Source organism: Homo sapiens, chromosome 4 (assembly GCF_000001405.40).
Source record: "Homo sapiens chromosome 4, GRCh38.p14 Primary Assembly".
NCBI classification, from domain to species: Eukaryota; Metazoa; Chordata; class Mammalia; order Primates; family Hominidae; genus Homo; species Homo sapiens.
Window position 1 is genome coordinate 150450596 of NC_000004.12, and position 15036 is coordinate 150465631.

Consider the following 15036-nt stretch of genomic DNA (forward strand, 5'->3'; position numbering starts at 1 on the left):
GATTACATCTTCAAAAACCCTATTTATGAATAAGGTCACATTCATAGGTACCTGGAGGTTAGGACTTTAACATATCTTTTTGGAAACAAAATTCAACCCATAACATGTACCCAAAAATAAACTTGAAAACACGTAAAATAAAAACTAACAGAACTTTGGTGAGGTGGGGTGGCTTACACCTATAATCCTAGCACTTTGGGAGGCCAAGGCAGACAAATCACTTGAGGCCAGGAGTTTGAGACCAGCCTGGCCAACACGGCAAAACCTGTCTCTACTGAAAATACAATTAGCTGGGCAGGGTGGCACATGCCTGTAATCCTAGCTACTCAAGAGGCGAGGCATGAGAATTGCTTGAACCCAGGAGGCAGAGGTTGCAATGAGCCAAGATGGCACCATTGCATTCCAGCCTGAGTGACAGGGCAAGACTCTGTCTCAAAAACAAAACAAAACAAAACAGAACAAACAAATAGAAAAACTAACAGAACTGAAAGAAAATATAGACAAATCTAACTTATAGTTGGAGACTTCAACACTCTTCTTTCAGGATTCAACAGGACAAGTAGAAATCAGTACGGATACAGAAGACATGAGCAACGACATCTTCAACCAATTTTACTTAATTGATATTTATAGAACAATACTTAACAACAGAATATGCACTCTTTTCAAATGCACATGGAACATTAATCAAGGTAGACTATATTCTGAGCCATCGAACAAATTCTCAGTAACTGAAAAGAACTGAAATCATACAGCGTATGTTCCTCAACCACAATGGAATTAAACTAGAAATAAACACAAGAAAGACATCTGACAAATCCCCAAATACATGGTAACTAAACAACATATTTCTAAATAATCCATGGGTCAAAAAGCAATTTACAAGAGAAATTAGAAAACATTTAAATGGGATGAAAATAAAAACAATATATAAAAATGTGTTGGACCCAGCTAAATCAGTGCTTTGAGAAAAATTTGTAGTGCTAAATGCTTATATTAAAAAGAAAAAAGTTCTTAAATCAATAGTTTAAAGTTTGCACCTTAAGTTACTAAAAAGGAAGATAAATTAAATCTAAATCAAATAGAAAAAATATAGTATGGAAAGCAAAGATCATAGGAATTGAAAACAGAAAAAGCAATAGAAAAATAAATAAAATCTCTAACCAGACTGGTCCAGAGGGAGAAAAAGAAGTAAATGCCAGTATCAAGAATGAATGAAGGGACAACTTAGATGAAATAAACAAATTTTGTGAAAGATGCAAACTACCAAAACTCATTAACAAAAAGATAACCCGAATAGCACTTTATCTGTTAAGGAAACTGAATTCAAAGTTTTACAAAAAAACCTTCCCAGAAACAAAACTCTTGGCCTAAATGGCTTCACTCATGAGTTCCACCAAACATTTAAGGGTGAAATAATAATTGTATATCATCTTTTCCAGGAAATAGAAGAGGAAAAAACAACTTCAAAACTCATTTTGTCACGTAAGCATTACCGTGATGCCACAACTAAACAATATTACAGGCCAATATCCTTTGGGAACATATATGCAAAAAGTCTTAAGAAAATATTTGCAAATGGGATCCAGCCATTTATTAAAAGGATAATACATCACAATCTGGTTTATCACAGAAAGGAAACACTATACAATCAGCCAGTGTAATTCACTATACTAACCAACTAAAAAAGAAAACGCAATTATCTTCAGAAAAAGCATTTGATAAAAGTCAATACCCAATTATGATGAAGACTCTCAACAAACTTCTTATAGAAGGGAACTTCTTTGGGAGGCCGAGGCAGGCGGATCACAAGGTCAGGAGATGGAGACCATCCTGGCCAGCATGGTGAAACCCCATCTCTACTAAAAATACAAAAATTAGCCGCGTGCGGTGGTGTGCACCTATAGTGTCAGCTACTCGGGAGGCTGAGGCAGGAGAATCGCTTGAACCCGGGAGGCAGAGGTTGCAGTGAGCCAAGATCTCACCACTGCACTCCAGCCTGTGCAACAGAGCACGACTCCATCTCAAAGGAAAAAAAAAAAAAAGAAGGGAACTTAACCTAATAGAAGCACCTACAGAAAAGCCTATAGCTAACATCACACTTAAGGGCGAAAGACTGAATACTTTTCCCCTAACACAAAAGACAAGGCACTCTCAGTACTTGTTAACCTTGTATAGTGCAGTAAGTCTTCATTTCACAATGCCATTTATGTATAAAGTCCCAAAAAGTCTACAAAAAGGCTGCTAGTAATAATAATTGAGTTTAGCAAGGATGCAGAATACAAGGTCAATTTACAAAATTCAGCTGTATTTCTATATACTGGCAACAAACAACTGGAATTAAACGTTTTATAACAAGATTAAAAACATGAATTTTTAAAGGATAAATTAACAAGATATGTGTAAGAATTGTATGCTAAAAGCTATGGAACATTTGAGAGAAACTAAAAAAGGACTAAATAAGCGGAAAAGACACTATACTAAGGAATTGGAACATTCAATATTCTTAGTACTTTATTTTTACCCAAAATGATCTACAGATTGAATGCAATCCTAATAAAAAATCTAGAAGGCTTTTTAAAAATTAGAAATTAACAGGAAGCAAAAAGCCTAGAACAGCCAAACAATTTTTAAAAAGAAAAATAAAGCTGGAGGATTCACATGACTTTATTACATGATTTACTATAAAACCACAGTACTCAAGACTGTGATACTGATATAAGGATATACTGATTAATTGTGAAGAACAGAGTCTAGAAATAGACCTACACATATATGGCCGATTGATTTCCAACAAAGATTCCAGGAGACCTCCAGAGAAAAAGTCTTTCTAACAAATGGTGTTAGAAGAATTGGACTTCTACACACAAAAAAATGAACCTTAACTCTTACCATGAACTTACAATACATTCTAGACAAAAAATAAGTAGCATTAGCAGCCACAATACAGAAGAATAGTAATAATTCTGTTTGATCCAAGTTGTTTTTAGAAAACCCATTAACACCATTGGGTCAAAATAAGTAGATAGTCAATTACATAATCTAAATCAGCAGCTTTCAACTTTTCCTGTAAGACAGTCTCTAATATATATACACGTACACTATCTATTCACAGATCTCTTGCAACAAACCCACAGTCCCCTCAAGTGACCAGAGCTCACAGGTTGGGAACAACTGGCACATCTTCATCTTCCTTTCTACCAACAAGACACCAGCAAGTGTTATACATTTAACACTGACTAATCTTAAACCTCTTTTCTTCCTTTTCCTGTACGAAAAATTCAACCCTAAATGTAAGAATTCATAATAGTCCTTCATATTTCACTTGAATATTTCATGTGAATGTTTCGATCAAAACGATTTAAAAGTTTTTTTTTTCTTTCTTTGAGACAGAGTCTCACTGTTACCGAGGCTGGAGGGCAGAGCACGATCTCCACTCACTGCAACCTCCAACTCCCTGGTTCAAGATATTCTACTGCCTCAGCCTCCCAAGTAGCTGGGATTACAGGCACGCACCACCACATCTGACTAATTTTTGTATTTTTAGTAGAGACAGGGTTTTACCATGTTGGCCAGGATGGTCTTGATCTCCTGACCTCATGATCTGACCGCCTTGGCCTCCCAAAGTGCTGGGATTACAGGCGTGAGCCACCACAACCAACCTCAAAAATTTGTATTTTAATTTGTGTAAGGTAAGCTACATGGTCAATTTGTTATATTAGTGAAACTGCTGAACAAGTCAGAAACTGGGACAGAATTCTAAAAAGATGCCCTAAAGAAGGCAATATCTCAAGTTTATAAAGACAATTAAACAATAGGATTGTATGATGATTTGAACAGTTATTAATGTTACTAACGACTTTTAATTACCTTGTCTGTATTTCAGACAGGTAACACTCAGATTTTAAAATAATTTACTGAGATAGGTCACACTAGATCTATAACTTTCCCAATTTACTGGCCTAATCAAAACTTTTATTTTTCTTTTTTAAATTTTTAAAAATTTCAATAGCTTTAGGGGGTACAAGTAGCTTTTGGTTAAGTGGATGAGTTATATAGTAGTGAAGTCTGGGCTTTTAGTATACTTGTCACCCAAAGAGTGTACCATAGGTGATCTTTCATCCCTCGCCTTCCCCCTCAGCCTTCTCCCTTCTAAGTCTCCAATGTCCGTTATGCCACTCTGTATGCCTTTGCATACCCATAGCTTAGTTCCCGCTTACAAGTAATAACATGTGGTATTTGGTTTTCCATTCCTGAGTTACTTCACTTAGGATAATGACCTCCAGTTCCATCCAAAAACTTTTATTTCTTATTATTAATTTTTTTGGTGTTCAGTGTTTTTTATTTTTTTTTATTGCTTACTCCAGTTTTATTTTATTTTTTATTTTTTTTATTATAGTTTAAGTTTTAGGGTACATGTGCACATTGTGCAGGTTAGTTACATATGTATACATGTGCCATGCTGGTGCGCTGCACCCACTAACTCGTCATCTAGCATTAGGTATATCTCCCAATGCTATCCCCTCCCCCACCCCCACCCCACCACAGTCCCCAGAGTGTGATATTCCCCTTCCTGTGTCCATGTGATCTCATTGTTCAATTCCCACCTATGAGTGAGAATATGTGGTGTTTGGTTTTTTGTTCTTGCGATAGAAATACCATTTGACCCAGCCATCCCATTACTGGGTATATACCCAAATGACTATAAATCATGCTGCTATAAAGACACATGCACACATATGTTTATTGCGGCATTATTCACAATAGCAAAGACTTGGAACCAACCCAAATGTCCAACAATGATAGGCTGGATTAAGAAAATGTGGCACATATACACCATGGAATACTATGCAGCCATAAAAAATGATGAGTTCATGTCCTTTGTAGGGACATGGATGAAATTGGAAATCATCATTCTCAATGTTTTTTAATTTTTAATTTTTATAGGTACATAGTTTGTGTATATACTTATGGGATACCCAAGATGTTTTGATACAGGCAAGCAATGCATAATAATACCATGTAAAATCAAGTGTCTACCCCTTCAAGCATTTATCCCTTGTGTTACAATCAAATTATATTTTTAATTATTTTTAAATGTACAATTATATTAGTGTTGACTATAGTCACCCTGTTGTGCTATCAAATATTAGGTCTTATTCTATCTTGATAATTTTTTTTTGTACTCATTAATCATCCCTACCTATACTCCATTCCCTCACCACCCTTCCCAGCCTCTGGGAACCATCCATCCTTCTACTCTCTATCTCCATTAGTTCAATGGTTTTGATTTTTAGATCCTCACAAGTAAGTGAGAACATGTGATGTTTGTCTGTCTGTGCCTGGTTTATTTCACTTAGCATAATGACCTCTAGTTCTATCCATGTTGTTGCAAATAACAGTATCTCATTCTTTTTTATGGCTGAATAGTACTCCATTGTGTATAAGCACCATATTTTCTTTATTCATTCATCTGTTGATGGATACTTAGGTTGCTTCCAAATCTTGGTTATTGTGAACGGTGCTGCCAACAAACTTGGGAGTGCAGATACCTCTTTGATACACTGATTTCCTTTCTTTAGGGTATACACCTAGAAGTGGAATTGTTGGATCATATGGCAGCTCATTTTTAGTTTTCTGAGAAGCTTCAAAATTGTTCTCCACAGTGGTTGCACTAATTTATGTTCCTACCAACAGTGTACAAGAGTTCTCTTTTCTTCACATGCTCACCAGCATTTGGTATTGCTTGCCTTTTGGACATAAGCCATTTTAATTGGAGTGAGATGATAGCTCATTGAAGCTTTGATTTGCATTTCTCTGATGATCAATGATGTTGAGTGCCTTTTCATATGCCTGCATGCCATTTGTATGCCTTCTTTTGAGAAATGTCTATTCAAATCTTGTGCCCATTTAAAAAATTGGATTATGAGATGTTTTTCCTATAGACCTGCTTGAGCTCCTTACATATTCTGGTTATTAATCCCTTATCATATGAGTGGTTTGCTAATATTTTCTCCCATTCTGTGGCTTGTCTCTTCAGTTTTTTATTGTTTCCTTTGCTGCGCAGAAGCCTTTTTAACTTGATGTGGTCCCATTTGCCCGTTTTTGCTTTGGTTGCCTGTGCTTATGGGGCACTACTCAAGAAATCTTTGTGTAGACCAATGTCTTGGAGAGTTTCCCCAATGTTTTCTTGTTTCACAGTTTGAGTTCTTAGATTCAAGTCTTTAATTCATTTTGATTTGATTTTTGTATATGGTTAGAGATAAGGTTCTAGTTTCATTCTTCTGCATATGAATATCCAGTTTTCCCAGCACTATTTATTGAAGAGACTGTCTTCTCCCCAGTGTACGTTCTTGGCACCTTTGTCAAAAATGAGTCCACTGTAGGTATGTGGATTTGTAAAATCTTTTCTTTTTAAAGTAAATAAGTTAATGCAGTTCAACGGGATGTGTATCCCAGTAAAACTACTGATTTTCTTTTCCTCTAAATTAAAAAAACTATTTGTCTATTCTAATTTTTATATTGCTCCCACAATAATATGATTTTGTTTGCAGAATTTACTCCTTTCCACTTCCAAAAACTTGCTTCAAATGATAAATTTTGGATTCACACTTTTTAAAAAATTCCTTTTCTGAAAGTAAGACAATCTAAAAATTAAGCTACTGAAAAATGTTGTCTTATTAGTCTTGTATAAATGTTTTAAATATAACATGCATGCAATTATAAAGGTCTTTAAAAGTACGAACAATTTAACTCACTTTTGTTTCTGGAAGAGTCCTCAGAATAGTGTAGACAAAAGATGCCCAGCAAATACTTAACAATTATTTGAACAAACACATTGAATAGAACTTGGAGAATAGAATTGGACAGGAATTTGAACATAAGAATAAAATATATTTATTACATTATCCACTGTAAAAAAGCATAGTACATATTCACATACAAAGTAACTTTTAAAATCATAGGCAAGATAAGAATCAGAAGTTGATACATGCAAGTATATTTTAAAAGCTACAAATGCATACATGTTTTTTAAATGTCCTTCTACTAAATTCACTTTCTATAATTAAAAAAAAATAGCCAAATCAGGAGGATAGTTACTACTACTAATTAAACTTAAAAAAAATTTCCTAGGTGTTTTGAAAATAGTTCCTATGTAAATTCACAGTAGATATTCCCTACTCTAAACCTACCTCAGTTTGTACACCCAGCACCAAACAAATACAAAGCATTATGGGATAAAATTAATAATGCTATGCAAATAAAACAATTCATTTATAAATAATAATAAATAGTCACTCCACATCACAGTAACTTAGCATGATTAGAGAATAAATACTTAACTTTGAGAAGGATTACTGACTGGCAGTGTGTTGCTGGTATATGTCAGGATTATTCATCACCCTGACAGTAATATTAACCACAATCCATTTCAGTTGCTTCAGTTTATCATTTTCTGACTAATGTTAAAAAACAATGTCTTTGGAGGCTGCTTGAATTAAGTGTAGAATTAACGTCTGTTAGAGTCATTCAAAAACTTCTATTAGAAGATAACTTCTACAGAAAACCAAATCTGCTATACAGAGTACTAATGCTTAAAAGATGTAAGTTTCGAAACACAGCCATACAAAATAAATGGACTAATTCTGTTTTAAAAGCAAAACTTCAACAAATCCTGTAAATGCCTTATAACATCCATATACATATATATTCCTTAAATATATATGCTTCCACTTTCCTGAACTTAGTATTAAATTCTACATAAAGAGTTGCACAGACACATTTTAAACTAACATGCCACATTGAACACGTAATAATTCAATTTAAAAAGGTCAGTGTACCCATGAAAAATTTTCTTCAGGGTTATATAAATTAAATAGCTACACAGTTTGCTACCTAGGATCCTCAAAATTAAGTAATCTGCTAAAGGTCTCTCTACTTATAAATGGTAACAGGAATATACAACTCTATCTAAATCCAAAGATTCCCTGCTCTGGTCTAATTTTATCTTTCCAGGCTGTTTTCTCCACATCATGTTGATATTCCTTTTAGAAGATATCTGCATTTATAACTCTTCTATTAATTTTTATACTGCTCTTTCTTGTTTTATGATTATTCACTTTCCATAGCATAATTTTCTTGTTCTATTAATGCAATAGTTTCCCTTTATCTGAAAATATTTATTCTAGTTTTTTTTTTTTTAAAAAAACACTTCTGTTTCATAAATTGCCTCTGTTTCTTCTGGTTTTGTTTTGATTTTCTATTTGCTTTGGTCTTTGTCATCTTTCACATTAGAGGTTGTCTTTAAATGTTTGCTAATACTTGGCTGCACCTCCATTTTTAAGAATGAGACACTGAAGAGCTGACTGAGCATATAGACCATAAGTAGTGATGTGAACTGGTAGACTTCACTGAAGGGAAATCAAGTGGGCTCGAAGTAGAATCCCTAAATGTTTTATTTTTTTAGGTGTTTTCTTTTGAGCCAGTGAATATGTCCAAAGAGTAATACAATCTTCTGTCTTATGGGGTGGGGATGGTATAAGCTTAGCTGCCGCAGTTCTAATAGCATGACAGCAGAAGGGGTCTAGGGGCTTTCACGACTTGGTACTTAAAGCTTTCAGTTATAATCCTCCTGTTTTCCATCCTTTACCTTAAACCCTCCTTCTGGTGTGCTTGGTGTTCTCATATCAGAAACGTGTCTGGTAAAATTTCTCCAAAAAAGTCAATCTCTTGCTTTTTGACAATACAGAGGGAAGAGTAGTTGGATTTTGGAATGAAGCAGATATAAAGCAAGTATTGAATTTAAAATGTTCTTTCAGATTATACCTAAAGTCTACCAGTTGACTGACAGACAGATTTGAGATCAAATCCTGAGCTTACCACTTGGAAAATGTGTGACCTCCCAGAATTCTTTAACCTCACTAAATCTTAGTTTCCTTATCTGTAAAATAAAGACAATAACACATTCCTTACAGGGTTATTGAAGGAATTAAATGAAACAGCATATGTAAAATGCCTGTCATAGTGGAAAGCACCTATTAGGGCTTCCCTCACAATCCTACAAATACGTTGGGAACTCTCCCCATATCATTTTTATGCTTATTAGACTGCAAACTTTCCAAGGCCAGACAATGTAATTTATATCATAATCTCTAAAATCAATGTGGCATACAACAGCATCCATGTTTGATGCCAAGATTAAACTATTTTAACATATTATGTCAGCCAATAAAACATATCCAAAACATAATCAAGTATGGGGTAATTTTTAGTTTCTTTCTCTGCATTTATATTTTATTTAAACAATTTAAGATCTATTATTTACTGTTGTAGTATCATAAGATGTGTTTCTTTTGGTAAGCTTGAATTCCTTTAGCTTCACTGAAGCCCAATAAATAGAAAAATGAAGTAAAAGCCATAACACCTAACAAGTTTAAACAATATTCCCCCCACCCCCAAGAGTGTTCTTTTCCCTCTGTGACATCTAGATGGTATATTGATTCCCAGTGTATCTGTTACAGAGCAGACTAAAAGGACTGGCATTCATCAGAAACAGCACTTAAAACTTAAAGAGATAAAGAAGTGCTGTCTGATCAACAACAGTTAAATGTCGGTAGTCAATTCCAGGTCAAGATGCATGCTGTATATTAAATGTGTGTGTTAAACAGAAATATCTCACACATAAAAATATACATCCAAATGGTAGGAGATACATGAAGGAGAGAAAAAAAAATCACTTACTTTTCCTGAAAGAGAGAGCGAGAAACAGAAACATATACTAAGCACAAACAGGAGCAACTCAGCAATGAATAACAAATTCACTATGGTTCTGTCACTCAGTTCTCTTCGGTTTTGTCAGAATCTACTCTTTAGAACTATTTGGATCCAAACTAGGGCAATGTAAACTGCTAGGTTAACAGAGTGTGAATAGTCTAGCATTGTAACATAGGTTTAAAAACAAAACGAAACAAAACAAACATGATTTCTTAGAGCTTAGACAAAAATTTAAAATTCAGTTTTAGTCAATTTTCCTCTGATTCCTATGTTGCAAGATAGGAATCAGGAGATCATGGTGCAGGTTCATTTTCTTCTACTCTTTATTTTCCTGTTTCTGCACTATGGACCAAAATAACAGCTCATTTTGTGGTTACAATCTAAAGATGAAAAACAGATTTTTCTTTACCTTGTTCCTCAAACTCTCTATTTTCCTTCATTTTAAAAATGTGAGTTGTAATTATTAAAAAGTAAGTATTTGCTTTATCTTGGCCATTCCTGTTTCTCCCAAATCTTCAGCTTATTCTTTTACTAGGATAGTAATGACTTCATTTTATTCTTTCACATCTTCAGAAACTAGCAGTCCATGGCATATTACAGTACTCAATTAACAACCAATAAATGAATGAACAAATGAATAAGCAGTAACACTGGGGATCCTCTAGTTTTAACCGAACATTCAGCTTTTTTTGTAAAATAGGTTTAATCAAAAAAGGCTGGAGCATAACCTGGGATAAAGACAACAAGAGTAGGGCAATTTGAAAAGAAAAAAAGCTTTCCTTTTTCAAGCAATAGCATGCTGCTTGTAGGTACTAGGTACTTCAGCATGAGAAGTGAAAGGCAACTTCATAAATAACATTAAAACAGAACCAGCAACTGGTGCCAAAAGTGGAAGGCACTATTGGCATATTACAGAGTTTCTCAAACTTTCTGGGCCAAAGCTCACGTTAAGAAATATGTTACTTTAAAAAACACACATGTACATACACTCAAACAAATTGAGCAGAAGATTTATACAATATGCACAGTGATGGTTTCTTTTTTATGTTATGCTACGGTATCCCATTCATTTTTTAAAAACGCAATTGTGAGCTACAGGTTGAAAACTTAGTGTTCAAATTCTGATTCTACCTACGTGCAACTTGACCTCATGGTGCATTAGTTTCTGCCTCTGTAAAAAACAATAATGTTACCTACTTAAAGGGATTTTGTGAAGGTTAAAGGAATTACCACACACAAAACACTTAGACAAATGCCTGGCATATAGTAAATGCTCAATAAATATTAGTTAACAATAATAATAAAGTGGATGATCCTGTCTTGTGAATTTCATAGCCAAGATAATTGGGTTTTCATTGGCAAGTGGAATAGTTATCAATTGCATTTCAATCCAAGAACATGCTGGTTTTTTTAAAAGGTACCCAGATTACTATACAAATACATATTATATATTCTAAAATAACTACACTGGTCAACTAGAAGAAACATGATTGCCTCAGATTGTCTTGGTTTCCCTCTCTCAGAAAATCTGTTTTACACAATCACTTTCCAAAGTAAAGAAAAAATAATAAATCACAGGTACAAAGGAAATCATCCTAATCTACAAAGGAAGCCCTGGTACTGAAAAACTCAGCCATCATAATTTACTTTTATGGTATGACATTTTGTAAATATATTCCTGCGCTGATTATAAATTCTTATAAAGAAATGTCAAAAAGAAAATGTTGAATCTTATCTCTTCCAAGGAGGTTGTCAAAATATAAAATCAATGTATGTTTATAAAATATGGATTAATGTCACTCCAAATTCTATGCATGGTTAGATCTGTCTTCTCATCAGTCAGAATTTCAGACTACTGATGAAATAACTGGGAAAGTAGAGGGAAAAGAAATCAACCTCAAAATTGATTCCTATTTTTTTCAGCTTTGAAAGAATAAATTAAACCATTTTATGCTAAATGAGGACTTTTGCAATACAAGAAAAGATTTAATTTTCACCAGTCTTTCAGAATAAAATAGATTTGATCTTCTCAATGTACTTATGATACTAATTTGGAATGATTATAAAGAGATATATTGTACATGGAATAAAAGCTTATACATTTAAAAAGACATTTTTTACACTGCTCCATTCAGACTTTTTTTTTCTTAAAAGAAGATCAGAAAAATAATACAGAAGAAAGGATGCTGATTACATTAATTCAGCTTCAGAAAGAGAATTCCCAGTGCAACATGGAAGAGATTACCAAATAAAATTGTAGCTTTGTATCAAAGGTACTAAAAGTCCTCTGAAAAACAGCTTTGGCAAAATTAAATAGATATAAATATGCATAAATAATTCAATACATTTTAAAGCCAGTCAGGCAATATTATCCACTTAAGAACGGAGATAAGATCTGTTTGTATTCTACATTAAGCTATGCATACAATGTTTTCTAAGATTTCACAAGTTTATTTAAACAAACAGTAATGTTTACAAAATGTATACTATGGGACAAATTTTAATACAATTCTATTATAATCATTATTTGTACAGATAGAGCTCATTTATATATGAGATGTATTCTTGAAAATGTGTGTATAAACAAATATTTGAAAACTGAATCACACTGTAAACATTTTGGCAAGCCTTAATACTAAAAGGAATGAGGTACTTTTACTAAGTAAACAATCACCGCTATTTTATATGTGCAAAGTACAATTTTCAAATATCTGATGTGCTTGATTATTTCACTAAATGCAGTTGATTCCAAACTCACTTATTTCATCAATATTTAATGAAAGCAATTAGTACTAGTAGAATTCCATTCTCATGAACCTGAATGACTTTTGTAGCATTCACACTACCATTGGTTTATAGGAAAGGAGATATTAGTTGTAAGGCGGTAGAATGTTAGAGCTCCTCACTTCTCCCCAGACCTACTAATTACACTACTGTTCATTATTCAACTGTGTGCCCTTCAGTTCTTGTTGAAAGCACTTTTTATAACTATTCCTTCCTCAGCCAAAAGGGCAAATATTTCACAAAATTTCTAAAAATATAAAAATGAATGCCATTACAATTGAAGTCACAAAATTACACAAATGACATTTCTTATGTCTTTGTTTAGTGGATGTGGACATATTTGGATAGAGGTTAATGAAAGCAACAGTTTTGTTTTGTTTTGCAGCCCCCCCTTTTTTACTTTTAATGTAGCAAAATAAAAAAGCAAAATTACTATTGATCATCTACTGGGGCATAAGGTAACCTTATTTCTCATATCCTGAAGAAAAGGCATTAGTTAAAATAATATTTTACCCACCCAACAAAAGTATTTCACAAGTTCCTTAGGTACAGCTGTAATATACAAATAAAATTTGATTTTAATAAAGGATTCTGTTTAGCTGGCCACTAATCTACAATAGCATTTTTCTGATATAATTTCAATGAACATTCATAATAAAAATCATACAGCCTACATAATAAAAATGTCCTGGAGGCTTCCTTCTGGTCATTTAACATTTTTAGTAGAATAGGTAACAAAGATGAGGGGCAGAGAATGGAGGCAGTTGGTAAAAAAGGGTGGTGTTAGGATGAGGTAAAAGGGTTATGAGAACTTTTGGTCAGGTACAAAGATGGAGGAAGAGAAAAACATATCCTCAAAAAAAAAAAAATAACCTCCCACTTGTCACCATTAGGTACTGTTTCATCAAGACTGAATCATGAGTCCAGCCCGAGTCCAGCCCACAATCCATCTTAGTACTCATCACATCTTAAAGAGATTTCTAAAAACTCATCTAAAGCACAAAAAACATCTGAATAAGCTATGTGCTGAAATAGAGTCCAAACTGTGGATTCAGCCCTGAAACAGAAGGCAAGGCAATACTTCTAGGACCCTAGAACACGTATTCATATATATGTCATTCATTTTGTGAAGCAAATTTTATATTCTAACAAAATCAACCCCCCAAAAATGATATTTTTACTTTTGCAAACACAAAATTCAAACCATAGAGAGAGAGTAGGGTATAATAGCCTGAGGATTAAAGAGCTGCCCAGTTTTTATTATTGACCTACTGCATGGCTCATTACACAAGTCAAACTAATACAGTCCTCATTTATTAGACTACAGAGCTCTACAGATTCCATAATACTATGGGGTCTTAGAACAAATATGATACCGAGGTGTAAGGCCTTCCTTTTCTTTTCAATTTTTTTTAAACCAACCATTTATCATTCCTCATGGTCAATGGGTCAATTGGGAAATTCTGCTGATCTGGGCCTGGCTTTGTTGCTCTTAGTTGGACTCCTTCATACGTTTGTGGTCAGCTGGCAGGTCAGCTGAGGACTAGCTTGTTAAGGATGACCTAAGCTGTCACAGCTCAAGTGTCCTCCATGTGTCAGTCACAACCCATCAGCAGGTTAACTTGGGAATGTTTAGGGCATATTCTCAAAGTGATCACAGAGAAGCAAGAGCAGAAACACACAAGCACTTTTTCAAATTGTTTCTAGTTTGCTAACTTTTTTTTTCTTGCTGGTTTCTCTTTTATTAATGGTGGCAAAATATACATAACATAAACGTACAGTTCGGTAGTATTAAATACATTCACATTGTTGAACAATCATCACCACTATCCATCTTGAGAACTTTTTTCAACTTGCAATCCTGAAACTCTATACCTATTACATGAAACACTAACTCCTCATTCTCTCCCTCACCCCAGGCCCTGGCAACCAGTATTCTACTTTTTGTCTCTATAAATTTCACAACTCTAAGTACCTCATATGAATGGAATCATACAGTATTTGCCTTTTTGGGACTGGCTTATTTCACCTAGCATAACATCCTCAAGGGTTATTCATGTTGTAGCATATGTCAGAGCTTCCTTCCTTTTTAAGGCTGAATAATATTACATTGTATGTATATACCATATTTTGTTTACCCATTTATCTGTCGATGGACATTTGGGTTGTTTCTATCTCTTAGCTGTTGTGTGTCACGCTGCTACAAATATGAACATGGGTGTAAAATTATCTGTTCTTATCCCTACTTTCAATTCTTTTTAATTTTTTGAGAAACTACCATACTGTTTGACATATAAGCTGCACTATCATACTTTCGCACCAGCATGCACAAGGGTTCCAATTTTCCACATCCGTGCCAACACTTGTGATTTTCTGGGTTTGTTTTCATTAACAATCTTCCTAATGGTTGTGAAGTGGTATCTTATTGTGATTTTGATTTACATTTCCCTAATAATTAGTGATGTTCATTTTCATCTC

General features: G+C 34.0%; 1 protein-coding gene across 11 annotated transcripts in view, besides 1 other annotated feature; it reads right to left on the minus strand.

Annotated features, from left to right (window-relative positions):
• LRBA (LPS responsive beige-like anchor protein) overlaps window positions 1-15036 on the minus strand; it is a 751293-nt gene that overhangs the window by 186161 nt on the left and 550096 nt on the right. The window lies entirely within an intron of this gene.
• Window positions 13982-14276: a silencer, noted in NCBI's record as "tiled region #5429; K562 Repressive DNase matched - State 12:CtcfO". NCBI's record gives its function as "represses a minimal TATA promoter and a strong SV40 promoter by Sharpr-MPRA in K562 cells {active_cell/tissue: K562}" and the evidence as "EXISTENCE:reporter gene assay evidence [ECO:0000049][PMID:27701403]".